At 52.5% G+C, this 25,699-nt stretch overlaps 1 protein-coding gene across 14 annotated transcripts; it reads right to left on the bottom strand.

Annotated features, from left to right (window-relative positions):
- Positions 1-1,169: 1,169 nt before the first annotated feature.
- On the bottom strand, positions 1,170-22,826 carry LOC102724197 (inactive glutathione hydrolase 2). Of its 14 annotated transcripts, none has more exons than XM_017030140.3 (15): positions 22,587-22,826; positions 21,435-21,813; positions 19,282-19,353; positions 18,988-19,074; positions 18,793-18,869; positions 18,079-18,249; positions 14,539-14,625; positions 9,141-9,333; positions 8,591-8,748; positions 6,902-7,051; positions 6,242-6,378; positions 2,554-2,741; positions 2,194-2,321; positions 1,784-2,091; positions 1,170-1,479 (listed from the first exon to the last, which is right to left on the bottom strand). In XM_017030140.3, the coding sequence occupies exons 6-15, from the start codon at positions 18,134-18,136 to the stop codon at positions 1,333-1,335; spliced, it is 1,554 nt and encodes a 517-aa protein (XP_016885629.1). In that variant the 5' UTR covers positions 18,137-18,249; positions 18,793-18,869; positions 18,988-19,074; positions 19,282-19,353; positions 21,435-21,813; positions 22,587-22,826; the 3' UTR covers positions 1,170-1,332. The 14 variants fall into 14 exon arrangements, with proteins under 14 accessions (XP_016885629.1, XP_016885630.1, XP_016885625.1 ...); XM_017030141.3 differs by having other exon boundaries at positions 19,282-19,350; XM_017030136.3 differs by lacking the exon at positions 18,988-19,074 and having other exon boundaries at positions 18,793-18,966.
- Between the last annotated feature and the right edge of the window lie 2,873 nt (positions 22,827-25,699).

Here is a 25,699-nt window from a genome sequence, read left to right as displayed (position 1 = left end):
TAAGGATTGAGGCCGGGTGCAGTGGCTACCCCTGTAATCCTAGCACTTTGGGAGACTGAGATGGGGGGACTGCTTGAAGTCAGGAGTTAAGACCAGCCTGGTCAACATAGTGAGACCCCATCTCTATTGGTTTAAATTTTTTTAAAAAAATTAAATAAATAAAATAAGGATTGAAGAGTGACTTGTACACCAGTTGAGCCCACCTCCATCTCACCCTTGCAGAGCCCCAGAGACACAGCCCTCCAGAGCTCAGACCCAGTGGGACTTGACTCCACAGGCATAAAACCCTGTTTGTCTATGGGCCCTTTGGAATCACCAGGTTTTCGGGGCTCCTGAAGGATAGCCCCGACCTGGCCTCACCTGGCCCCTGGCCCCAGTGCCCCTGGTGATATCCAGGTGCTGGGCTGTGATCACCGCCTCCCACCAGCCCACCTCCACCAGCCCTTCCCAGAACCCTGCTCCAGGTGTTGGAACTGTGCACAGAGGAGGGAGCAGGCCCCGAGGGAGGCCTGGAGGGGCTGCCAATGGTGAAGGCTGCTGTGTCGAGCTGTTTCCTTCCGGACCCACTCCCTCTGGGCTGCGTCCCCGGCTGGTCCAAGCCCTGATCCCTGGGATCTGGGGACATCTTCCCGTTTGCTGTTCCCTGAGAACCAGGCCTCCCTCTGGAGAGGATCACAAGCTTGGGTTTCACTCTGGGCTTGCTCTTGGGAACCCCCCAGGGGCATGGCTCTGACCGAGATGTTTTCCTCCAGCCTGTTGCCCAGTCCCCATTCCTCGGACCCTCAGCTTCACCTCCAGTGTCATCGGCAGGGTGAGCTGGACGCCTACGGGTCTGAGAAGGCGCCCGGGTTCCCAGCATCGGCTGGCCACCCTCTGCCTAAGAAAGCGCCAGGGTCGTGACACCCCCTGGTGGCTGATCCTAGGTAGTGTCACTGCCCAGCCCCAGTAAGGGAGGGCCTGGCCCCAAAGTCTGAGGGATCAGGGTGGGAAGGGGCAGGGTTTGGTGTGAACCTTCCCCTGGCCCCCAGCCATGTGCCTTGCTCTCCCCATGCTGAAGATGCTGAGGCTAGTTCCAGTGTCCGCATTGTGAAGATCTCCGAATCCCACCTCTCTGTTCCTCCCCAGCCAGATGGCTCCATTTCACACACAATACACTGAGGCCCAGAGAGTGGGGAGACAGGCCAGGGAGGCCACCTGGAGCCTGGCACAGTGGCCTCATTTATTATGCTGCTCTGCTGCTCACAGGGGAAGCCCGTCCCCCAAAGTCCTCTTCCTCATCCTGGTGAGTATCTTGTCCCTGGATTGCTTGTCAGCCTTGTCTGCCTGGAGCACTCAGTAGCCAGCAGGTTCCCCGCCTTTCCTGGAGTCCGAGGCAGCTGCCCAGCCACCAGCCGTGCGGACGATGGCTTGCACCACAGCGATGAAGGTGGACGCGATCTGGGTGTGATGGTGCCGGGTCTCCAGGGCTGCAGTCACTGCCTGGGGGTGGGAGGAGAGGGGAAGCCTGAGCAGGGCTCCAGATGCCACCTGAACCACACCTGTGTGGTCACAGGCCTCAGCCCAGGTGGTGCCATTTCAGGCCAGGTCATCAGGAAGAGCAGGTTGGGGCCTGCTGGGTCTCACTGGAGCAGGGGGCTTGGCTCTCATGTCACAGGGGCTCCAGATGGCCCAGGCACTAGAGAGAGGACACCAACCATTGTCCACTCTGTGATGATCCAGGCCTCCAGCCCAGGATGCCCTGGGACCCCACACCGTGACTCAGTTTCTCCAACCCCTGGCCCACCTGGTCAATGTTTCTCTCCACTGTCGTGACGTTGGGCAGAAGCTTGTTGTGCAGCCGGGGCTCCTCCACGGCCCTCTTCACGTCATAGCCGAACCAGAGGTTGTAGATGATGGCCTGGGGCATGGGAGTGTGATCAGCGTGGCTTGGGGGCTGTGCAGAGTGGGCAGGGCCAGGGAGAAAAGGGGTGACACATACCAGTGCAGTGTCTGTGGTGATCTGCGTGCCCCCAGCAGCTCCCACCACCATCCGGACCTGGCCGTCCTGGCCCACCATGATCGTCGGGCACATGGACAAGAGCGGCTGCTTCCCTGCGGCCGATGGGAGAAGACAGGGATGCCCGTCAGCTGCCTGCCCAGGACACCCGCCCCTCTCCACCCCAGTCCCCCACCCCCCGGACCTCCACCCCATACCTGGCTGGATGAAATTGGCAGGTGAGGGGGGTGCCCCAAACTCATTGGTGAATGCTGGGAGAGCTGAAGTCGTCCATTCATTATTGAACAGGATCCCACTGACCGGGGAGCAGACCTTGGAGCCAAAGCTACCGCCCAGCCAGGTCAGACAGCACCCGACCTTGCCTGGCCCAGCCTGGTCCCTATCCACCCACTGAGGCTCAAACATACTCACTGAGAGGCCCAGGATAAGCTACCAAGGTTGGGCCTCAGTTTCCCACCAGGAAAAGAGGTGATGGAGCCACCTTACTGGATAAGTGGGCAGTCCCTGGGCCACCCGCCCCTGGCCCTTTCCCACCCAGGCGGCCCAGCAGCCCCTACTAGAGGTTGATGGTGCTGGTGGCGGACACAGCACTGCCGTCCTCTGCGACGACAGACAGGTGAGCAGTGCCCCCGTCATCCGGCGTGTAGAACTCGGGCTTGTAGTAGGAGATCGGGTGAGTGGTGTGGTCAGAGATCTGGGACCGGAGCTGGGCAGTGAAGAACTCAGAGGTCATGTTGCGGACCACCTGCTGAGACCCCAGAGCTGGCCTGAGGAGGTGGGGAGGGGGCACAGGTCTCAGAAGGCCCTTGACTGTGACTCTGACCGCAACCCTCTGGCACCCACAACCTTCCGTGGCTCCCCAGGACCCAAGGGCAGGCCCAAGACCTTGCATGACCAGTCTGACTCCCTGTCTCTGTCGCGTTCCAGCAACTCTGAATGTCTGTCTGCCTGGTCCTCAGCCTCCAGACCCTTGCCGCATTCAATCACTCATTCTTTCATGCAAAAAATATTTCTAGAATTTGCACTGCATGCCTGGCACTGGGGAATCAACAGGGAACAGACACTTAGGTCCTGCCCTCATGCCAAGAAAAACAAACACACACAGGGAAAGTGCTGAAACCACAGGCCAGGTAAGGGGAATCAAGAGGCATGAGGTATGGGCAGAGTGGTCAGGGAGGGCTTCTCAGAGGAGGCAACGTGTGAAAAGAGCCTGGAATGTGGCCTAAATGGTCAGTGCAAAGGCCCTGAGGCAGGTGGCATAGGCTGGTGAGCGATAGGCAGAGAGTGAATGGAGTAGGGTGGGGAGAAGAGGATGAAGATGCAGGCTGGGGCCCATCCCACAGGACCTCCTAGGTCCCATAACAACTGGCTTTTGCTCTGTGCCATGCAGGCTTAGGGCAGAGGAATGAGGAGGCTGGGGAGTGTTTTCACAGGGTCCCTCTGGCAGCTATGACGGGGATAAGGATAAAGCCCAAAGGGGAGGCTGTGGGTATCAACCAGGCAAGAGATGATGGCCTGGGTGGGAGAAAGAGAAGAATCAAGCATGGTGCCGACTAGCGAGGCCGGCAGAAGGGGCCGGTTTGGGGATGGTCAGGAGCTTGATTTTGGATACTTCATCAGACCCAAAGAGCATGGGTGCACGTATAAAAAAAATAAATAAATAAGCATGGGTTCACGGGCAAGGGCGGGCTGAGAGATGAACATGGAGGTATTGACATTGAGTGGCTGCTGGATGCCATGAGCCTGGCCAAGGTCCCCAAGGCAGTGGCGAGGAGGAGATGAGGAGGTCAAAGAGGAGACAGAGAGGATGGACCCGAAGGCCGAAGAAAATGCCTCAAGAGAGTTTCAACACCGGGCGCGGTGGCTCACGCCTGTAATCCCAGCACTTTGGGAGGCCGAGGCCTGTAATCCCAGCACTTTGGGAGGGCGGATCATGACGTCAGGAGATCGAGACCATCCTGGCTAACACAGTGAAACCCCGTCTCTACTAAAAATACAAAAAATTAGCTGGGCGCGGTGGTGGGCACCTGTAGTCCCAGCTACTTGGGGGGCTGAGGCAGGAGAATGGCGTGAACCTGGGAGGCGGAGCTTGCAGTGAGCCGAGATCCCGCCACTGCACTCCAGCCTGGGGGACAGCCTGGGGGACAGAGCGAGACTCCGTCTCAAAAATAAAATAAAATAAAATAAAGTTTCAGCAACACCCCACGGATTAGTTGACCAATCCCAGGGAAAGGTGTTCTGTCTGAATCTGCCCTCAAGGAAACAGAAAGGCAAATCCACGATGTGGGACATTTTCCAAGACTACTGCCCTGGGCTTTAAAAATCAACAAAACAGGCCAGGCACGGTGGCTCATGCCTGTAATCCCAGCACTTTGGGAGGCCGAGGCAGGCGGATCACGAGGTCAGGAGATCGCGATCACGGTGAAACCCCGTCTCTACTAAAAATACAAAAAATTAGCTGGGCGCAGTGTCGGGCGCCTGTAGTCCCAGCTACTCGGGAGGCTGAGGCAGGAGAATGGCGTGAACCCAGGAGGCGGAGCTTGCAGTGAGCCGAGATAGCGCCACTGCACTCCAGCCTGGGCAACAGAGCGAGACTCCGTCTCAAAGAAAAAACACACCTGTAATCCCAGCGCTTTGGGAGGCTGAGGTGGGAAGACAGTTTGATCCCAGGAGTTTGAGACCAGTCTGGGCAAGACCCTGTCTCTAAAAAAAATACAAAAATTATCCAGGTTTGGTGGCACGTGCCTCTGGTCCCAGCTGCTCAGGGGGCTGAAGTGGGAGGATTGCTTGAGCCCTGGAGGTTGAGGCTGCAGTGAGCCAAGATCACACCACTGTACTCCAACCTGGATGACAGAGACTCTGTGTACAAACAAAAACACAACAAAAACAAAACAGCCAAGGGAGCCTACTGTAGGTAAAGAGAAGGGACAGCAGGTTGTGTCACCCCGACATCCTGCTGTGCTATGTTCAAGTCTCACTTTTGAGACACATCCTGAGGTGCGACATCAGTAACCTACTGTGGAATCCCTCAGAAAAACACGAATCCCAATAGATGTGGGTGGAGACGGAGAGAGTTAGGAAATCCGGCAGAAATGTCCACACTGCAGAATCCAGGAAAAGGGAACATTGATGCTTGGGCAGTTTTGGGTTTTTTTTACATTTTTGCAGGTGCGAAAATTTGCAAAATGAAAACTCGAGGAGAGTGTGGTGAGCTGTGTGAGATGCTGCTGAGTGGGGCCTGATGGGGAAACTGAGGCTGGACATGGCGATCTGGTGGCATGGGGATAGAGCAGGGGAGGGGATACCCTGAAGGGAGAGAGGACATAGCCCAGCCATGTTTGCTCTAAGAGGAGCAAAGGACAGAAGGAGGCAGCAGATAGAAGTTTCTAGAGCAACAACAGCTGCCTTTTTTTTGGGAATAATCCGTGATAAAGAAATAAATCATCAGAGGCAGACAGGAGCATTGTAGGAACAGCACCCCGAGCCAGCGAGTAGATGAAGGAGCTGGCCTTAGCCAAAAAGGAGGGCAGAGGGACACGCTGCAGTGGCTCTGTCCCCTCAGAGAGACAAGACACCAGGTCACTGGCTGCAGCGGGAGTCAGAGGTGCAGAATGCTCACAGGGAAAGAGAAGACACCACCCGGGCAGCTGACGCCCCTCCTGGGAGGTCACTGGTCAGTGTGGGGGGGTCTGCAGATCCGCCCAGGAATGCCAAGGACCCAAGTAGGTAAGGAGGGATGTGAGGATCCTCAGCGGGAAGGGATATGACAGGGTCTTATAGGGACCCAGCATGGAGCTGGGGCAACTACTGGGTGAGTGGGTCAGGTGGTGCAGGGCTGAGGGTGGCATCTGGGAAGCGTTAGTTTGGAGTGACAGGGAGTGGGTGGCCGAGGTCTCTGTTCACCTGGCCCTCTCCCTTTCACCCATCCATCTCACCATGCCTGAGGGCTGCAATGCCCCCATGCATTCCTCATCTCAGCACTGAGCACTCAAGAACCACAGCATGTGCAAAGGACCTGAGGTAGGAGGGTGGCCACTAATTCCCCACACTGTCAGTTCTGTGGGGCAGAAGCCAAGACTGGGGGTCACCCACGAGTCCATCCGAGCACACAGTAGGCCCGCAATCGAATTCTGTGGCAGGAATGGATTCATAAAGCATATGTGAGGTTGTAGCCACCCTGGGGAGCCCACCTGATGCCTCTACGGCAGGCCCCACACCCACAGTGGGCCAGCCCCTGCCCCTTACCTCAGTCACATCCACAAACTTGGGGTCCCCAAGCAGGGTCCTCTTGGCGTAGGCAAACCGGAAAGCCTCTACGATGCGGTAGTACGTCAGGCCCTTCTGCTCGGGGGTCTCCACGCTCTCCCGGGAGAAGTTGTACCCTGGTTGATCAGAGCCAGGTGCATGTTGCTGAGCCCCAGAGGCTCTGAGGGGCTCAGAGGGTTAACACCTGCCTGAGCCACTTTGCCCACCTCAAGGAGCGTTTAATAACCAATAGCAGCAGCTGCTTCAGAAGGCTGTGGTGAGAGTGAAGTAAGGTGAGGGCTCCCGAGCCTGGACCTCACGTCACGCATCAGCTCTGGCCATTCAATGACCAAGTGGCAGGGTCACCCACTGGACCGGGGTACCCTCTGGACCGGCCCTGCAGCCCTGAGCTCCTGCACCTCTCTCCCTCCTGATGACTCCTGTTCCTCCTCCAACCCTTGAGCATTGCCCGCTTCAGCCCTGTTGCTCTGCACTGCCTCCTTCAGGACATGGTGAGCTGTGACGCAGGGACACACCTCAGGAGCTCAGTGATGGAAAGACGTGGCATGGGGGGCGAGCAGAGATGCAGGAGGGGTGGGGCGTGGGGAGAGAGAGGCAGTGTCATGGGTCCTACCACACAGCTGTGGTGCGACCACTCACCTTTGAGGATGTTGAGGATGAGGGCCAGCACGGGCCCGCTGAGCCGCGCACTGGGCATGTACAGCACCGCGTCTCCCAGGCTGATGTTCAGCGGGTGCTCGATCAGCTCAGCACAGTAGTTGTTCAGGTCCTCAGCTGTCACAATGCCCCCTGCAATGGGACAGCAGCTCGAATGGGCGCTGGGATGGGGCTGCACCACTGCGTGGAGGATGGAGCTGCACCAGTGGTGTTGGGGGCAGGCATGGCTGCACCATGGTGGTGGGGAAAAGCCTGTACCTACCAGGGAGGACAGAGTGCACTACTGGAGGGGTGGGACTGTGCCCTGGGAGGGGGCCACAGGCAACCTCACCTCCTTGGGAACCTCACCAGCTCCGGCACTCCTGTCTCCCTGACACTGCTCACCACCCGACAGCTGGGCTGGGGCCACCTGCCCTCTGCCTGCTTGGCTTACTGGCTTCCTGTCTGCCTTCTCTCATCTGTGGCCAGAGAGTGTTTTCTTTTTTCTTTTTTTTTTTAGAGATACGATCTTGCTCTGTTACCCAGGCTGGAGTGCAGTGGCTTAATCACAGCCTTGAACCCCTGGGCTCAAGTGATCCTCCAGCAGACCCTCCCCAGTAGCTGAGACTAAAGGCACAACTACACCCAGCAAATTTTAATTTTTTTGTTGTGTTTTGCTATATTTCTTTCTTTCTTTTTTTTTTTTTTTGTGAGACGGAGTCTCGCTCTATCGCCCAGGCTGGAGTGCAGTGGCGCGATATCGGCTCACTGCAAGCTCCGCCTCCCAGGTTCACGCCATTCTCCTGCCTCAGCCTCCCAAGTAGCTGGGACTGCAGGCACCCGCCACCACACGTGGCTAATTTTTCTGTATTTTTAGTAGAGACAGGTTTCACTGTGTTAGCCAGGATGGTCTCGATCTCCTGACCCCGTGATCCACACGCCTCGGCCTCCCAAAGTGCTGGGATTACAGACGTGAGCCACCGCACCTGGCTCAGAGGGCCTTTTCTAACTGGAGAATTCCTGCCGGTGTCCCTGCTGCTTGGCCTCTTCTCCTCACGATGAATGGATAGAGGGAGGGAGGGAGGCTCTTAATTCTCCTGGAGTCAGCTCCAGACAGGGTATTGGCATGCCAATTTCCAGCCTCAGTGGTAAAGGTCGACACGCTAATCACCCTCCTCCATGAAACAGTGACAAAAATTACCTGAAGAAAGCCACAGCCAAGCTCCAGGCCCCTGCCCCACAAATCCCCTTCCCCATGCCTCTCTCAAGGCGACCCTCATCCCTTGTAACCCTCTTGGTGAATCAAAGCGCCCTCTACTGGGCCTTAGCCCAGCTGTTCCTCTGCTAGGAATCCCTTCCTCTCTCTGCCTAACGAAGTTATCTGCAGCCCAGCCGCCACCTCCTCCAAGAAGTCCTCCTGGATCTTCAGGCTGTATTCTAGTGCTTCCCTAGCCCTGGCTCTTGCCTTCACCTGCATTTACCCCAACAGGGGCTTGCTCTCCTGGACTGTGTGGCCTCTCTTGGTTTTGATATAAGCAGGAGCTGTGGACCCACATGGCCAGTCACTGACCCTCCTCCACCAGGAACTTCCTGCAGGCTCAGGCAAGACAGGAGGACCCCATGGCTCTGGGCTACAGCTCAGGGTTTCCACTGCAGAGTTCCTCACCCAGGTCCTTGAGGTTACCCACTCACCAGCCGCCTGGATGTCCTTCACAATCTGGGCCATGAGGCTGCCGTTGTAGAAGGCCTGGGCACCCTCGATGGCCAGCATCTCGTAGGTGTCAGCCAGCCGCGGCAGGGTCAGTCTCTCCCCCTCCCAAAGCACCTTTCTATCCCGGCAGAACACCTCACTGGGGCAGAGGGGGCTCATGTGAGGCAGCAGGTGGGGTGGACTCAGCTAGACCACCCCTCACACCTGCCCACACAGGAGACCAGCACAAAGCAGGGGCAGCGCCTGTCACAGGTGGGTGGCCCTGTCACTCAGTGCTTGTCCTCCTAGTGTCCCTTCCGGGAGCCTCCTAGTGTCCCTTGCCACTCAGGACACATGGCCAGCCACAGTGGCCACTGGGACCCCACGCTCAGAATGTGTCCCCACACGTGGTGGGAAGGGTCTGTATCTCCTCATCCCATTATCAGCACAGGGTCCTGAAGGCAGAGGGCCGCTCCACTGCTGCTACGGCCTGCAAGGTCCTTGGGCTGTGCCTGCCCTGCCTGTGTCAGGGGGCCGCACCCACAGACATACCACAAGACAGGCTGCTGCTCGATGACGGTCCGCTTGTTTTCCAGGACTGCCGCCAAGCCCTTGCCCACGGGGAAGCCCTGGCGGGCCAGCTGGATGCTGGGCTGGAAGAGGCGAGCCCAGGGCAGCCGCCCATGCCGCTGGTGTGCCAGCTCATAGCCTCGGATCTCCCCAGGCACCGCCACCGACAGCCCTCCTGGGGAGAGAGAGCCACAGTTAGTGACCCTGAGTGGGGGACATCGGGATCTCTCGCAGGCAGCATCCCAGGCACAGTCCCTGACTCGCTTTACAGATGGGGCAATGAGGCTTAGGAGGAAAGATTTTTTTTTTTTTTCTTTTTTGAGTTGGGGTCTTGCCATCTTGCCCAGCCCGATCTCGAACTCCTGGATTCAAGCAATCCTCCCACCTCAGCCTCCTGAGTCGCTGAGATTACAGGCGTGAACAGCACACCTAGCAGAAGGGGATTTTTAACTTTTAAATTTATTTTTTAATTTTAATTGTTTTTTTTTTAGGAGGGGATGTTTAATTTTTTTTTTTTAAGAGGGGCTCAGCAGCTAGGAGTGTACATGGACCAGGGATGTCTGAGGAGGGTACAGGAGGGGAAGCAGTAGCATGCGGCTGGGTTTTGCTGTCCCAGGATGAGGTGTCTGTCTCTGCAGGTGCCAGCATGTCTAAAATCCTGTGCCAGGCCAGACCCCCTCCCATCTCGCTGACCACAAGGCCTTGTCCTGTAAGACTCATGGGCTCCACCAGAATGTGCCAAAACAAGAGCAGATCCTACCCTGACCCAGGTCAAGCACAGGCCACCTTCAAGACACAGCCAGCCCCAAGAAAGGGCTCCCTTCCCCTTTTCTACTGCCCCAGAGAGGCAAGACTGAGCCTTAACCTCCATCCTGTCCCCTCTCCCAGCCTCAGTTTCTCCATCCAACTATAAGGGTTTTTGTTTGTTTGTCTGTTTTGAGACAGGGTCTCACTCTGTTGTCCCAGCTGGAGTGCAGTGGTGCAATCATGGCTCACTGCAGCCTTGGCTTCCCAGGCTCAAGCGATCCTCCCACCTCAGCCTCTGAAGTACCTAAGACTACAGACATACCCCACTACACGTGGCTTTTTTTTTTTTTTTTTTGAGATGGAGTTTCACTCTTGTTGCCCAGGCTGGAGTGCAATGGCACAACCTTGGCTCACTCCAACCTCCGCCTCCCAAGTTCAAGTAATTCTCCTGCCTCAGCCTCCCAAGTAGCTGGGATTACAGGCATGTACCACCACGCCTTGCTAATTTTTGTATTTTTAGTAGAGACGGGGTTTCACTAGGTTGGTCAGGCTGGTCTTGAACTCCTAACATCAGGTGATCCATCCTCCTCAGCCTCTCAGAGTTCTGGGATTACAGGCGTGAGCCACCACTCCCAGCCTAATTTTTTATTTTTATTTTTTGTAGAGACAGGGGTCTTGCTACGTTGCCAAGACTGGTCTCAAACTCTGGCCTCAAGCAATCCTCCCACCTCAGCCTCCCAACATGCTGGGATTACAGGTGCACTCAGCCTATAAGGGGTTTTGCCTTCCAGTTCTGACTTTTGGGGAGGTCATTGGAAACAGACCCCTGGGCCTGCTTCCCCCCTGAGCCCCACTGCCCATATGGACACTACAGACACTGACCCTTTGCCCAGAAAGGTACAACTATGGCCTCTGCCCCCAGGGACTCTCCTGCTCTTGCGAGAGATGATGGGGCCATTTGCCTTGGCTTGGCGGCTGTGGCTCTAGAACTGCCTCTCCCACCCTGAAGCCTGGCACAAGTTTCCAAGAGCTGGTGGTTTCAATTCCTAGAAGCTGCACATATATCCCGGAAGGTCTGACACCCAGCATATGATTCCTTCCACCTTGTAGTTAGACAGAAGTTCTTTTTTGTTTTGTTTTTTTTTTTCTTTGTTTGTTTTTGAGATGGAGTCTTGCTCTGTCTCCCAGACTGCAGTGCAGTGGCATGATCTCAGCTCACTATAACCTCCGCCTCCCAGGTTCAAGCGATTCTCCTGCCTCAGCCTCCCGAGTAGCTGGGATTACAGGCACAGGCCAGCACGCCAGGCTAATTTTTGTATTTTTACTACAGATGGGGTTTTGCCATGTTGGCCAGGCTGTTTTCAAACTCCTGACCTCAGGTCATCCACCCACCTCAGCCTTCCAAGGTGCTGGGATGACAGGCGTGAGCCACCGTGCCCAGCCAAGACAGGAGAAGTTCTAATCTTTGATAGCAGACCAGGGTGACGATGCTTAGCAACAGTATTTTGTATATTTCAAAGTAACGAAGAGAGGACTATGGTGCTAACACCCAGAAATGAAAAATATTCAAGGTGACGGAGACTCCAAATACCCTGCCTTGATCATTATACACTCTATGCATGGAACAAGCACTCACATGTACCCATAAATATAGAAAATATCATGTATCAATATCAGAAAAAAATCTCCTCCTGACCTCAGCCCAATCAGGCTCTCATGCCACCACACTTGCCAAGTTCTCTGGTGACCCCCACACTGCCAGACCCAGTGCCCCCTCTCAGCTTTACTGGGCTCATCACTCTCCCTGAGAGCCGCCCCTGCATCCCAGCACCTGGCTCCACCCGAGTCTCCCCCGCCTGCCATCCTAGCTCCTACTCTCCCCTCTGTCTTTGCTCTCTCTCCTGGTGGTCTGCTTGACATCTGAGCTTCAGCCTCCATTTATGCACTGACAACTCTCAAATTGACCTGCTGGCCTGGACTGCTCCTCCGATCACCAGACCTGAGGATCTACCTGCCTGCTTGAAGAAAGCATCTCAAACTTCAACGTGCCCAAAACCGAGCTCCTGAGTGTCTGCTCAACCTGCTTCCTGAGAACCCTGCCTGTCTCCATTAGGGTCACCCCATCCTTCCAGGTACAGACAAAAGATCAGGGGTCCCCGGGGACTCCCTACACAAGCGTCACACCCAACCCATCCTCAAATCCACAGGCTCCACTTCCAAGTGTGTCTGTGCAGCGTCAGCCACTTCCCAGCACCCTCTCCACGAATTACTGCAGTGACCTCCGGACAGGTCCCCACATGCTCCCTGCCCCTTACACAGCAATCCAAGGGGTCCATAGACCAGATCCATCCCCTTCCAGTCACACACTCCACGAGCCCCCACTTCCCTCAGACAGGAAGCAGAGGCTTCACCATAACCTAAGAGATCCCGCACAACCTGGGCCATTCCCCTTGGATCACTTGCTGCAGCCTCCCCAGCTCCCCACAGGGCTCTGTCCCTGCCATCACACCTGGATAGCAGACCAGGAGATAACTCCCCTGACCCCATCTCTGCCTCTGGGTCTTTGCTCAGATGTCCCCTTCCCTGACTAGGTCACCCTCCATAGAGTCCCAGATTTTGAGGCCCTCCAGGTCTGTTTTTCTACAGCCCGTAACACACCCGCACTTGCCTAGTTTCTCCTCCCACCTGGAGTGTCACAGATTTCATCTGCCGTCTTTGTTTTTCACCCCAGCTTCAGGAACAACAGCTGATTCTTTAAGACAATGCTCAATACATTCTAGTCAAATAAATGGTTTTAAGCGTCCACAAGGTGCCAAGCCTATGATTCCCGCATTCTCTTACCCTCAGCAACTTCATGTCTACAGATGCTGAGTTTCTCAGTGAGTATTAAAAACAAATGAAAGATTGGTCGGGCACAGTGGCTCACGCCTGTAATTCCAGCACTTTGGGAGGCTGAGGCAGGGGGATCACGAGGTCAGGAGATCGAGGGACCAGCCTGGGCAACACAGTGAAAACCCGTCTCTACTAAAAAATACAAAAAATTAGCTGGGTGTGGAGGCGGGCGCCTGTAGTCCCAGCTACTCGGGAGGCTGAGGCAGGAGAATGGCGTGAACTCAGGAGGCGGAACTTGCAGTGAGCCGAGATCGCACCACTGCACTCCAACCTGGGCGACAGAGTGAGACTCCGTCTCAAAAAAAAAAAAGAAAAAAAAAATCAAAGATTGAGTATGTTGCAGAAGACTCCAAAGGGCACCACCCAGGACCCCCACCTGAAGTCTAAGACCTGCTATGGTGAGTGTGTCCTGCCCCTCCATCCTCCAACTTTTTTTTTTTTTTTTTTTTTTTTGAGACGGAGCTTCGTTCTTGTTGCCCAGGCTGGAGTGCAGTGGCATGATCTCGGCTCACTGCAATCTCTACCTCGTGGGTTCAAGCGATTCTCCTGCCTTAGCCTCCTGAGTAGCTGGGATATTACAGGCCTGTGCCACCACGCCCGACTAATTATTGTACTTTTAGTAGAGAAAGGGTTTCACTATGTTGGCCAGGCTGGTCTTGGACTCCTGACCTAGGTGATCCATCTGCCTCAGCCTCCCAAAGTGCTGGGATTACAGGCGTGAGCCTGTGAAAAAAAGGCCCAGCCTTTTTTTTTTTTTTTTTTTGACAGGGTCTCACTTTGTTGCCCAAGCTAGAGTGTAGTGGTATAATCATGGCTGACTGCAGCCTCAACCTCCTGGGCTCAAGTGATCCTCCCACCTTAGCCTCCCGAGTAACTGGGACCATAAGCACACACCGCCATACCTAGCTAATTTTTTTTTCCATTTTTTGTAGAGATGGAGTCTTGCTATGTTGTCCAGGCAGGTCTCCTGGGCTCATGCGCTCCTCCTGACTTGGCCTCCTAAAGTGCTAGGATTAGAGGTGTGAGTTGTTGAGACCCTCCCATCCTCCAACTTTTATCTCACAATCTATTGTGCCTCCTTTGGGGACAGACAGTGGCTTCCTGGATGGACAGTGGCTTCCCCTCAGGTACCTGGGGAATTTGGGGGCCTCCTCCCCACTTAAGACCAGATTAGAAAAGAGAGACTCCACCTCACATTCTAGAGCGCCATCCCCACAAATGAACAAATGAGTGAATGGGATGCCTGTTGAAAAGGCAGGATATAGACAGCCTGGGTTCAATTTTAGCTTCACCACCTCCCAGCTGTGTGACCTCAGCTGATTTGCATGACCTGTCTGAGCCTCAGCATCCCCACCCTGTAAAATGGGAATCCACACAGCATCCCCTTGCCCAAAGGAGCAGGGAGGGTTGTGAGAGGCTCGTGGGTGAAAAGCACAGAGCAGAGCATGGGCCCCAGTGAGCCCTGATCCATGAGGTCTGCTAGCATAATAATTATTCTCTCCACGTGCTGCACAGGGTGGCCCCGGAGGCCTTAGCAGAAATAACAGAAGCTCCCGGCCCTTTACCGTGGTGATGATGGTCCTGACCACTCATTGTGGGAGGGTGCTATGGGGCCAGGAAGGGATGGGGGGTGACAGAACTGCCCCTGAACCCTGACGGGAGCAGGCTTCTGTGGGCAAGGCCCCTTCCCGGTGGCTCAGCCAGCTCTGCACCCATGCCCCAAGTCTGCAGCATGGCTTACCCTTCTGGGACTGCTCCGAGCTGTTGAACATGCTGGCAAAGGCCAGCCTGGGGGCCACCTCGCGGGCATTGATGACCTCAGCTTTTCCTAGAAGAAGCAGGTAGGCAGGCCCACCCACCAAAACCCTTTATGCCACGTGAGCCTGGGGGCCACCCAGCTGTGCCTCGGCCCAACCCACACCCCCTGCCCCTCTCCCTCTCCTCTTCCGAGGCACTCATGAGTGGTGCTGTTGTAGATGGTGAGGAAGAGGCCAACCCCGATGCCCATGCTGTGGGCATTCATGAGCCCCACACACAACAGGGCTGCAATGGCTGCATCCACTGCAGAGCCACCGTCCCGCAGTGTGTCCCTGCCATGTGGCACATAAAGGCATGAGAACCTGCAGGCTTCCACCCTGGCCCCGCATACACACCCTGCTGCCCACCTGCCCAAAGGAGGATGGAAGAGAAGTCCATTCGAGTTTTGGGGTTTTTGTTTTTAGTTTCTTTCTCTTTTTTTTGAGATGGAGTCTTGCTCTATTGCCAGGCTGGAGTGCAGTGGCACGATCTCAGCTCACTGCAACCTCTGCCTCCCGGGTTCAAGCCATTCTCCTGCCTCAGCCTCCTGAGTAGCTGGGACTACAGGTGCATGCCACCACGCCCAGCTAATTTTTGTATTTTTAGTAGAGACGGGGTTTCACCATGTTGGCCAGGATGGTCTCTATCTCTTGACTTCATGATCCACCTGCCTTGGCCTCTTTTTTTTTTTTTTTTTTTTTTTGGAGACAAAGTCTCTCTTTGTTGCTCAGGCTGGAGTGCAGTGGTGTGATCTTGGATCACTGCAGCCTCAGTCTCCTGGGCTCAATTGACCCTCCCATCTCAGCCTCCCAAGTAGCTGGGACTATGGGCACATGCCACCATGCCCAGCCAATTTTGTTTGTTTGTGTATTTTGTAGAGATGGGGTTTCATCATGTTGCCCAGGCTGGTCAAGAACTCCTGTGCTCAAGTAATCCACCCACCTTGGCCTCCCAAAGTGCTGGTATTACAGGCATGAGCCACTGTGCCCAGCCTTTGTTTTATGAGACAGGGTCTCACTTTGTCACCCAGGATGAAGTGCAGTGGCACAGTCTTGGCTCAATGCAGCTTTGACCTCCTGGGCTCAAGCAATCCTCCCACTTCAGTCTCCTGAGTAGCTGGGACTACAGGTAAGAACCACCACACCGGGCAATTTTTTGTCTTTTTTGTAGAGATAGGGTCTTTCTATGTTGCCCAGGCTGGTCTCAAACTCATGGTCTAAAGCAATCCTATCGCCTCAACCTCCCAAAGTGCTGGGATTACAGTTTCTTCTTTTTCTTTTCTTTTTTCTTTTTTTTTTTTTCTGAGACAGAGTTTCACTCAGTTGCCCAGGCTGGAGTGCAGTGGCATGATCTTAGCTCACTGCAACCTCTGCCTCCTGGGTTCAAGCGATTCTCCTGCCTCAGCCTCCTGAGTAGCTGGGATTACAGGCGCACACCACCATGCCCGGCTAACTTTTTATATTTTTAGTAGGGACAGAGTGCACCATGTTGGCCAGGCTGGTCTCGAACTCCTGACCTCAGTGGTCTGCCCGCCTCAACCCCCCAAAGTGCTGGGATTACAGGTGTGGACCACCTTGCCCAGACAGTTTCCTCTTTATTAAGCAAACAAATGTACATGACTTTTATAATTGGGACAAAAAGGGAAATTGCTATACTTTATTAATAACATTTTTTTTTTCCCTGCTAGAGATGGTGGCTTACACCTGTAATCTCAGCACTTTGGGAGGCCAAGGTGGAGGATCACTTGAGGCCAGGAGTTCAAGACCAGCCTGGGCAATAGAGTGAGACCATCTCTACAAAACAGTCTTTTTTAATTAGTCAGGTATGATGCACGCCTGTAGTCCTAGCTACTCAGGGGGCTGAGGTGAGAGGATCGCTTAAGCCCAAGAGTTCAAGGCTGCAGTGAGCTAGGATCATGCCACTGCACTCCAGCCTGGGTGACAGAACAAGACCCTGTCTCAAAATATGAAAAACATAATATTTTTTCTGTTTAAGTCTTTAGGAGGGAACTTATCTTTATATATAACATGAGATAAGAGTCTAAAATAGAATAACACAGTAGAAGCCAGGCACCATGGCTCACACCTGTAATCCCAGCACTTTAGGAAGCTGAGGCGGGAGGATCACTTAAACCCAAGAGTTTGAGGCTGCAGTGGGCTATGATCGCTCCCCTATACTCCAGCCTGGGTGACAGAGTAAGACTCCACCTTAAAAAAAGAATAAGCCCTTCATGTCCCTGTTTGGGCAACAGCGTTCCTTGGGGGGAGGGGGGAGGGGGGAGGGATGGCATTGGGAGATATACCTAATGCTAAATGACGAGTTGGTGGGTGCAGCACACCAACATGGCACATGTGTACATATGTAACAAACCTGCACATTGTGCACATGTACCCTAAAACTTAAAGTATAATAATAAAATAAAATAAAAAAAAGAAAGAAAGAAATTGTCTCCTAACCAAAAAAAAAAAAAAAAAAAAAAAGAAAAGAAAAGAAAAGAATAAGCCAGGCGTGGTGGCTCATACCTGTAATCCCAACACTTTGGGAGGCCCAGGTGGGTGGATTACCTGAGGTCAGGAGTTCGAGACCAGCCTGACCAACATGGTGAAACCCCATCTCTACTAAAAACACCATAATTAGGCCAGGCGCAGTGGCTCACACCTGTAATCCCAGCACTTTGAGAGGCAGAGGTGGGAGGATCACAAGGTCAGGAGTTCAAGACCAGCCTGGCCAACATAGCAAAACCCTGTCTCTACTAAAAATACAAAAATTAGCTGGGCATGGTGGCACATGCCTGTAGTCTCAGCTACTGTGGAGGCTGAGGCAGGAGAATCACTTGAACCTGGGAGGTGGAGGCTGCAGTAAGCCAAGATTGCACCACTGCCCTCCAGCCTGGGTAACAGAGCGATACTCTGTCTCAGAAAACACACACACACACACACACACACACACACACACATATACACACACACAAATTTGTTGGGCGTGGTGGCGCACTCCTATAATCCCAGCTACTTGGGAGGCTTAGGCATGAGAATCGCTTGAACTTGGGAGGCGGAGGTTGCAGTTAACTGAAATTGCACCACTGCACTCCAGCCTGGCAACAGAGCAAAACTCCATCTCTAAATAGATATAGATAGATAGATAGATAGATAGATAGATAGATAGATAGATAGATGATAGATAGATAGATAGATAGATAGATAGATAGATAGATAGGAAGAAATAAGTAAAAATAACAACCAAACAACAAAACAGTGGAGTTTATCCAAAGAAACAGAGACTCTTAGAACTGAGAAAAGGGGCCCTGTTTGGCTCTAGAGACCCACACCCTGCTCTCGGAGTCACCGTCCCCTTCCCAAAGGCTACTGAGAGAGTCCAAGCGAAGCTTACATGTGGGGAAACTGAGTCTCAGAGGGGTGAAGGTATTGCTCAGGTCCACTTGCCCAGTTTTCAGGGCCCATGTCCCATGCCCTGCCCCGCTCACCTCCCAATCTCCAAGCACTGCTTGGCATCCGCGGCCACGGCAGCCCTGGTGTACACATGGTTGTCAGGTTCCTTGGAGGCCGAGGGCAGCCAGAGACAGAGGCTGACAATGACCAGCACCAGGACCACGGCCAGCAGGCCCAGCACCACTAACTTCTTCTTCATGGCTCTGCTGCACCCACGGGGTAAGGAGCAGGGTCAGGCCCAGCCTCAGACATGCCCTGGCCCCTCCCCAACAGGGCACAGTCTAAAGTCAGGCCTCAGAAACACAAGGCCTGTGTCTCCTTCCCGCTTCCCAGAATACGTGCAGGCTGTCCGGCCCCCAGACCTTTGCGCAGGCCATGCCCTCTGCCAGAAGCTCTGGGCCTCATCTCTGCCCTCCCAAATCCTCCCTGCTTATCTTCAGAGCCCATCCTGGTAAGAACCCCATCTCCAGCAGCGGCCCTTCCTGGGAGCCCCCAGATTTCCACACCCCTCTTTCTGCAGGGCCTGGCCTACCTCCTCACAGTGGCTGAGCCTCCACTGCTTAGGGAGAAGCTCCAGCAGGGATGGGCCTGGCCTGGTTTCTCCTGTGTCCCCCACCCCAGCCTAGAGCCTGGCACTGTCCAGGAGTCCTCTGAAGACCCTCCACCCCACCTGGAGCATGGGGTTTAGCTTCCATAGTGCCCACAATCAGAGCGCCCCACAGATTCACTGCCACGGGGCCAGGACTTACCGTCCAGCAGCAGACGGGGGCCCCAAGCCTTGCCTGGGGTGTTGGCCACGAAAGACAGGAGGATTTGGTGGAAACAGCTGAGGAAATAACCGGGGTCTCCCTCACACTCTGCTGAAGCCTGTAGCCACAGAATCTTCTTCAGAGACTCTCTGATCAGGCAGCCTTCTCGTTCTCCTGAAGGTCAAGGGAGGTTACCTGAAGCACGCACAGCTCAGACCTTTCTGGGGGACTCCGTGTTACCTCCCTCTGCCTCTAGCTGGTTTTTCTGTCTCCAGTTGAACTCTGGAGGCAAAGAGGCTGTCAGTAACACATTTGTTTCCATGAATTCTCTCAGCATGTCTCCCAGGCACAGGGTTTTGCACGGAGCAGGGCAGGTAGGGGACAGGGCATTCCTGCACAAGCCCAGGATGTGCATGCGGTAAGCATGGCAAAGGGGGCTCAGGGGGCACCGCCAGCCTGCCCTGCTCTGACGCTGGACTTGCCACTCACCTGCTGTGGGGCCTCAGGCAAATCACTGAACTGTCCAGCCTGGATGACGGCAGCACCTCACTTGCCTTGCTGCTGGGAGTGTTGTGAATAGAGTAGGTTAGACTGTGGGCAGGGCTTGGTGAATGGTAGCTGTGATTATCATCATGGCTGCACTGGGGACACCCCCAGGAGGCCTGAGTGGCACAGGTCTCTTGCTCACTGTATGTCCCCTGTGGACTCCCTTCCAGGCTGTGCAGTGAGTGGCAGCAGTGACCCTTGGGAAGTCTCATGGCTACGGCAGCAGGTGACAGGTGTGACAACAGGGAAGAGGGATGTGGTGACAGAGGTTGGGGTTCCCCTCTCCCACAGTCAGTTTCCCACAAAGGGCGGTGTCTGCCAGCAAGCCCCTCCAATGAGCCCCAAGCTTGGTTTCCCTCCACTCCACGCTGTCCCAGTGCAGAGCGTCTGACCTCAGAGGCAGACACACTGTCCCAGAGGTGGTCTATGAATGGAGTCCCCGTGCCCTCCCCACACACAGGGAACATCCAAATGCCATCATGGAAGGGTGGCCACCTCCCCAGGCTTGGTGGGCCTGGGGCCGATAGTGTGATACATTTGACCCCCTCCCAGCCCTGGATGCAGACACCAAGAGCAGAGAGACCTGGCAGTAGTCATGCAGCAGCGCACCACCCCACATCCTCAGCATAATCCAAAGCAGCCCCTCATCCCCACCGTGACCACCACAGCCTGAATCCTGGTGCCACCTGTTTCTGACCTGAACTCCCTCACAGCCCCTGCCTGCACTCCCTCCCTCCAACATCACCTGCCCTTCAGTCTTCCAGAAAGCAGCTAGAGGGCTCTGTCTGTCCAACTGCAGAACAGGCCCTGCCTCCTCCCTGCCCCGTTGGACAGCTCACACCCTTCACCAGGCCTGACAGCGCTCTTGCCACTCCAACACCCTGGGTCCCAGCTGGGAGTCTGGGTCAGGGTTAAGGGTTCCTGATAGAGACACCGATTCCTGGAGGTCCAAAGAGCCTCAGGAGCTGGGCCAGCAATATGCAGCATCTATTATGGACACAGAACATTCCCATCACATGGCCGGGTGCAGTGGCTCACGCCTATAATCCCAGCACTTTGGAAGGCAGAGGCAGGTGGATCACCTGAGGTGAAGAGTTCGAGACCAGTCTGGCCAACATGGTGAAACCCCCATCTCCACTAAAAATACAAAAAATTAGCCAGGCATGGTGGCAGGTGCCTGTAATCCCAGCTACTCAGGAGCTGAGGCAGGAGAATTGCTTGAACCCGGGAGGTGGAGGTTGCAGTGAGGCAAGATTGCACCACTGCACTCCAGCCTGGGCCACAAGAGTGAAACTCCGTCACACACACACACACACACACACAAAAGAAAAAAAAGGTCTCCTGCTGGGACACAGACTAGTTAGAGAAAGGAAAAATAAACAAATGATAGTATGTATATTAATAAAAGAACTAGCAACACCCACTGCTTAGTTGTGATAATAAAAACTGGACATTAATATAGGCAGAAAAACAGAACAGCCTTGATATGGTTAACCCTTTGACACTGGCAAACACTGTGACCAGTGCTGCCCACACTGGAAGCTCCTGCATCCCTCTTCCTCATGTTTCCTTCAGCATTAAGGAGCAACAAGGGAGACAGCCAGTTCATAGTTCCTTACGCATGGAGCCAAAGGACCTTCAATGTACAAGGTCTGAGCAAGGACCCGCAGCCACATGTGCTTCCTGCTTCAGCAGTGCCCCGTGGGTCTCAGAGCTACCCAAAGGCCTATCCTTCCGAGAGGTTTCTCCTCTCTCCCAACTGATGTCATACGTCTCATCTTCCTTGTCATTCAGATCATCAACCACAAACGTCCTTGCCTTATATTTTCATATCCCTTTTCACCAGTTACAGGGTTAGTTAACTTACGAAATTCTTAACATCTGCATTAGATCTTTTTAAAGTTTCACCCTCAACCACCTATTATTTAGAAGTGAACACAGAAATTTAGTTTCCTTGTGCTATCTGTTGACCCCTAAAATATGCTGGGAGTTTTGGGATTTTTTTTAAAGTCAAATGCATGGCATAAAGCAAAATTACACTACTAAAGAACTGAGTCAGGCCAGACGCTGGCAACGTGAAGACAGCTTCTCCTTACCCACTAGGTTCATCTTTGCACTGTTAACTCCCAAAGTATTGCTTCTCGGTGCTGGGTGTGTGGCATTCATATTCCCCGGCATCCCGGGCCTGAAGATCTGTGATGTGCAATAGGGTTGGGTTCCCCTGGACTCTTTCTATGAAGATCTTCCCTCCGCGGACGCGCTGGGTGTAGATGGCATAGGGGAAGGAAGAGTCCATGGTGCTGACGATCTGCACCTCTCGCTCTGGCGACGAAGGCAGGTAAATGGACCACTGGAAATTCTGTTCAGAAGGTCCCTGGTAGCCACTCACATTGCACCAGATAGTGATGTGGGAGCCCTCTGTGCGGTACAAGGGTCCTTCCTGAACGGTGACCTGCCGCTGTGCTGACACCACACCTACGAGGAAGAGAAACACATGCAACATGCTCACTTACTTCTCAGACCAAAATGCAAAGTAGGCAGCAATCTCCAAAGGGTTTGTTATTTGTGTGACATGATAATAATATAAACAGCTTACTGGCCCTTTCAAAGGCACTCTGTGATTTATAAATATTAATTAAAACACTCTGTGGTAAAGCACTGTCCCTAATTTGCATATATATGGGAATTTGATCATGCCAAGATGTGCTTTTGTTACTTATTCAACAGCTGACCCTTGGGAATTTCATTTAGACCCTCTGTTTGTCATGTATACGGCAGTTTTATATCTATTTATTAATGCTGTGTATAAAGTTTTTAATAAAATAAGCAGGAAAAGTTGAATCCTTGGCACAAATTCAGATGAAAACAAATAAAAGCAACCATCTAGGAATCTGGCTGAAATTAAATGCTTCTTCCTTGGTCCGAGTGCTGGTGGGAGGGAGTCCTGGGAGCACCTTTTTACTGGTGCTGCACCCTTCATTTTCCCATGTAGCTGCTCCCCAACACCACCCCAAGGAGCATTCCTTAGTTTCTCTTCCCTCCATAAATGGAGGCAGGGCTGAGCTCCTGCAGGCTGCTATCGTTTTAAGCTGAGCACACCCAAATACAAATGTGAAGGGCTGAAACAGATCCCTGATGCCCAGATTCCCACAAACTGACAAAGGGGGGAACTAACAGTGCCCAGCTAAACCTGTGACAAGGACAGTCAGGCTACCCTTGAGTTTCCCACTCAAGACTCCCCCGCTGACCTCCTGCCTTCTGGCTCAGATACTGTTCTCCACGGTCACTTCTGCCTGCCTTCTCCATGTTCTTCTTAAAGTGGCATGGTGAGTTTAATTTCTCATTTCGTGCCAACTCAACATTGATTGTGCCTGAGCCACTCAGAAGGTGGGAGGGGGCACACCCCTGCCTCTTCATTTCGGCAGTGGTCACGTACTGCAGGTTGTGAAAAGCGCAGGTGAGTTATAGGCGCAGCTTTGCCACCAATTAGAGCTGGTTGTGTCATCTCAGACAACTTGCTTTTCTTCTCCAGACCTTGATCTTCTCATCTATCACATGATTTCTAAGAACGTTTTAGAGAGCACTAGCATGGGTTCCGATGCTGGCTTTGTCACTTATTAACTGTGATCTTGGATAAGCTGCTTAACCTCTCTAAGCCTCAGTTTTCTCATCGGTAAGATGGGGATAATAATGCCTGTCTCATAGGGTTATTGAGAAGATTTAGTAACATCTGTAAAGACCCTAGCACAGAGCCTAGCCCACAATCAGTCCTCAATAAAGAGCTGCTGGCTAAGACATATTTCTGCTGGAACATTCTGTGGCTCTGGATCCATAGAGGACAGGATTTGGCCAATGACTGCTTAAGGACATTTCAACGGCCCCTTGACAATGACACCATCACTGGGCTGCCCACCTCATCCCACAGCTGCAGCCCATTCTTGTGATAGCTTCCCTTTTCCCCCACAAATGGGAATGGCGGCTGCCCTGGCTATGCCTATCCGAAGTGGATCCAGCTGGTGAACAGCCGGGACAGCTCAAATACTAGTGGAGTGCAGCTCTCTGCCCAGCCCAGCAGGTGACTGTGCCTCAGTGTAAGCTAATCTAATCTGCAAGATGACAGACCTCAAAACGGCCCATACAATGAAATGCCCATGGCTTGCAAAACTTTAATTCATGCAGAACCTTTCCTCACAAACAAAATCTTACACAGCACCCCATCTTGGCTTCAGCAGAACCAGGAAAAATAAAAAATTGGCAGGGGAAGGAAATAAACAGAACAAGTGGTATCTGAATTTATTTGATATATTCTGGTTGATGGCATTAATTATGACATTTAAAGTCACCATGAGGACAACTCATTAGTAATATCAGTATGTTAAAATATGGTGCATAACATTTTTAATATATGTACAGTCATGCACTGAATAACATTTCAGTCAATGAGGAAACACATGTGCAACAGTGATCCTGTAAGATTATAGTGGAGCATATATAGAGATCTAATATATGGCACTTAATGTTGGCATGGCAGATCAAGTAGGGGAAATGACTGATATTTAGTAACAGTGCTGGGACATTTGATTTTCCATAATAAAATATATAAATGAAAATATATATCCCATCTAGGTTTGTTGAAATACACCCTATGATGTTCACACAAGAATGAAATTGCCTAATGATGCATTTCTTAAAACATGTCCCCATCATTAAGTGACCCATGACTGTATACACACACACATATGGTGACACTTAAATCAAATGATTGCAGTATTCCTGAAACACAGAACATTTTGCAAACAATTTACCTACATTCATAACATTAGGCATCCTTAGAATTGCAGTGTTCTATGACAGAGCAACTACAACCAACCCCCATCCATCTCCTGCAAAGAAGGCTGGAGGCAGGTCAGGGTACACCAGCATCTTCAAGAACTGCTTCTCAATCCTGGACCTACACTGGAATCACCTGGGGAGCTTTAAAAAAAATAACAGTGCCTGGACCCCACCTGACATAACTGGTCTTAGGATTAATTAGGGTTTTTTTTGAAGCTCCACAGATGATTCAAATCAGGTGTAGCAAAGCACTGTTACTTTAAAGTGTCTCTACCTACATGGTGCCAGCCAAGTGCTCAAATGAAATATCTTAAGGCTCTCACTGGCTTTAAGTTTCTCTCTTTGGTAGAGACCCAATCACTGGTTCAAGGAAGTTTCATTCTCCTCCAGTCTTCCCCAGTGCAAAAGAAAACAGCTGAGACCCATCAGATACTGGCTTTTGTGATGCAATAATGAGTTTAACCAGAATGCATCCGATTTACAGACCTTACAAAGGCACTAGGCCAGCGGATCATGCACGTCCTCCCCACCCAAAGGTAAACAGTGTTAAGTGGCCTGAATGAGCCAGGACAGCAGGGTCAAATCAACTTGTCTAGGCTGGAAGCAGGTTATAAACAATCCGGACAAATAAATAACTACTGGATTGCACTTTAACCACACACATTCAGCTGCACCTGTTTATTAAATACCTCCTTAATTTCCCTCTGCCCCACAAAGGGCTTCTGACCCCTGAAAATAATGCTTCTCAACATAAAAAGAATTGTTTTCTTCTTGGCAGTTTAATTCCCCTTCTACACATCCCACCCCACCATTTCCCTATAATGGTAATACCCCGCTGTGCAGACCTCTGCTGCCTCCAAAGAGACACAGGCGCCCAACCCTGACCAGGGCATCCTCTGACCCACAGCCCCTCTATCTCCCCTCTCAGCCTACAATAGAAAGTTCCTCCCAGGCAAGGATCATTTTTTTTAAATAACTTTTTTAACTTTAGACATTCTGTACTCTTTGGATTACTCTGCAATAAGCAAATATGACTTCTGTAACATAAAAAGAAAGATCAAAATGTTATATATAACTGCATGAAAAGAACTAGAAAGAAAATACTAGGTGACAGGATGGCAAGTGATTTTTATTTTTTTCTTAATATTTTACTCCTTCCCCCAGTCCTCTGCAATGAGTATGTACCAGTTTTATAACTAGAAAAAAATTTTAGCCAAAAAGAAAAATAATGCATGTTTGCTATATAAAATTCACTACTGTAGTATTTATATATATATATATATACACACATACATATTTGGTCTTTGTCCCCAGTTCCTGGCACTGAGCTCCTAAACCCCTTGGAACTTCCTAAGCAATGGGAGTACCTTTTGTTATTTATAAGAAGCCCCTTTTGGCCATCCCAGAGTTTATGCTAACGAGGTGACTGAAGGTGAGCACGGAGGCAGTTTCAAGGAAGGAGCTGGCCACGCTTAGAATTGTGGAGTTTTCAGCCCTGCCCTTAGACCTCCAAGGACAAGAGGGGGAC

The sequence above is a fragment of the Homo sapiens genome, assembly GCF_000001405.40.
Source record: "Homo sapiens chromosome 22 unlocalized genomic scaffold, GRCh38.p14 Primary Assembly HSCHR22_UNLOCALIZED_CTG1".
Classification (NCBI taxonomy): domain Eukaryota; kingdom Metazoa; phylum Chordata; class Mammalia; order Primates; family Hominidae; genus Homo; species Homo sapiens.
Note: the sequence above shows the minus strand (reverse complement) of the source record. Positions and strands in the feature narration are given on the sequence as shown.

Bases quoted from the DNA above. Each gene is read 5' to 3' on its own strand.
- LOC102724197 (XM_011546256.4), bottom strand. From the start codon at position 18,242: ATGAAGAAGAAGTTAGTGGTGCTGGGCCTGCTGGCCGTGGTCCTGGTG. The intron at 14,620-14,750 runs GCCTCGGAAGAG...TTCTAGGAAAAG, and splicing joins CAACAGCACCACTCATGAGT to CTGAGGTCATCAATGCCCGC. The intron at 8,749-9,140 runs GTATGTCTGTGG...CCTCTGCCCCAG, and splicing joins GAGCAGCAGCCTGTCTTGTG to TGAGGTGTTCTGCCGGGATA.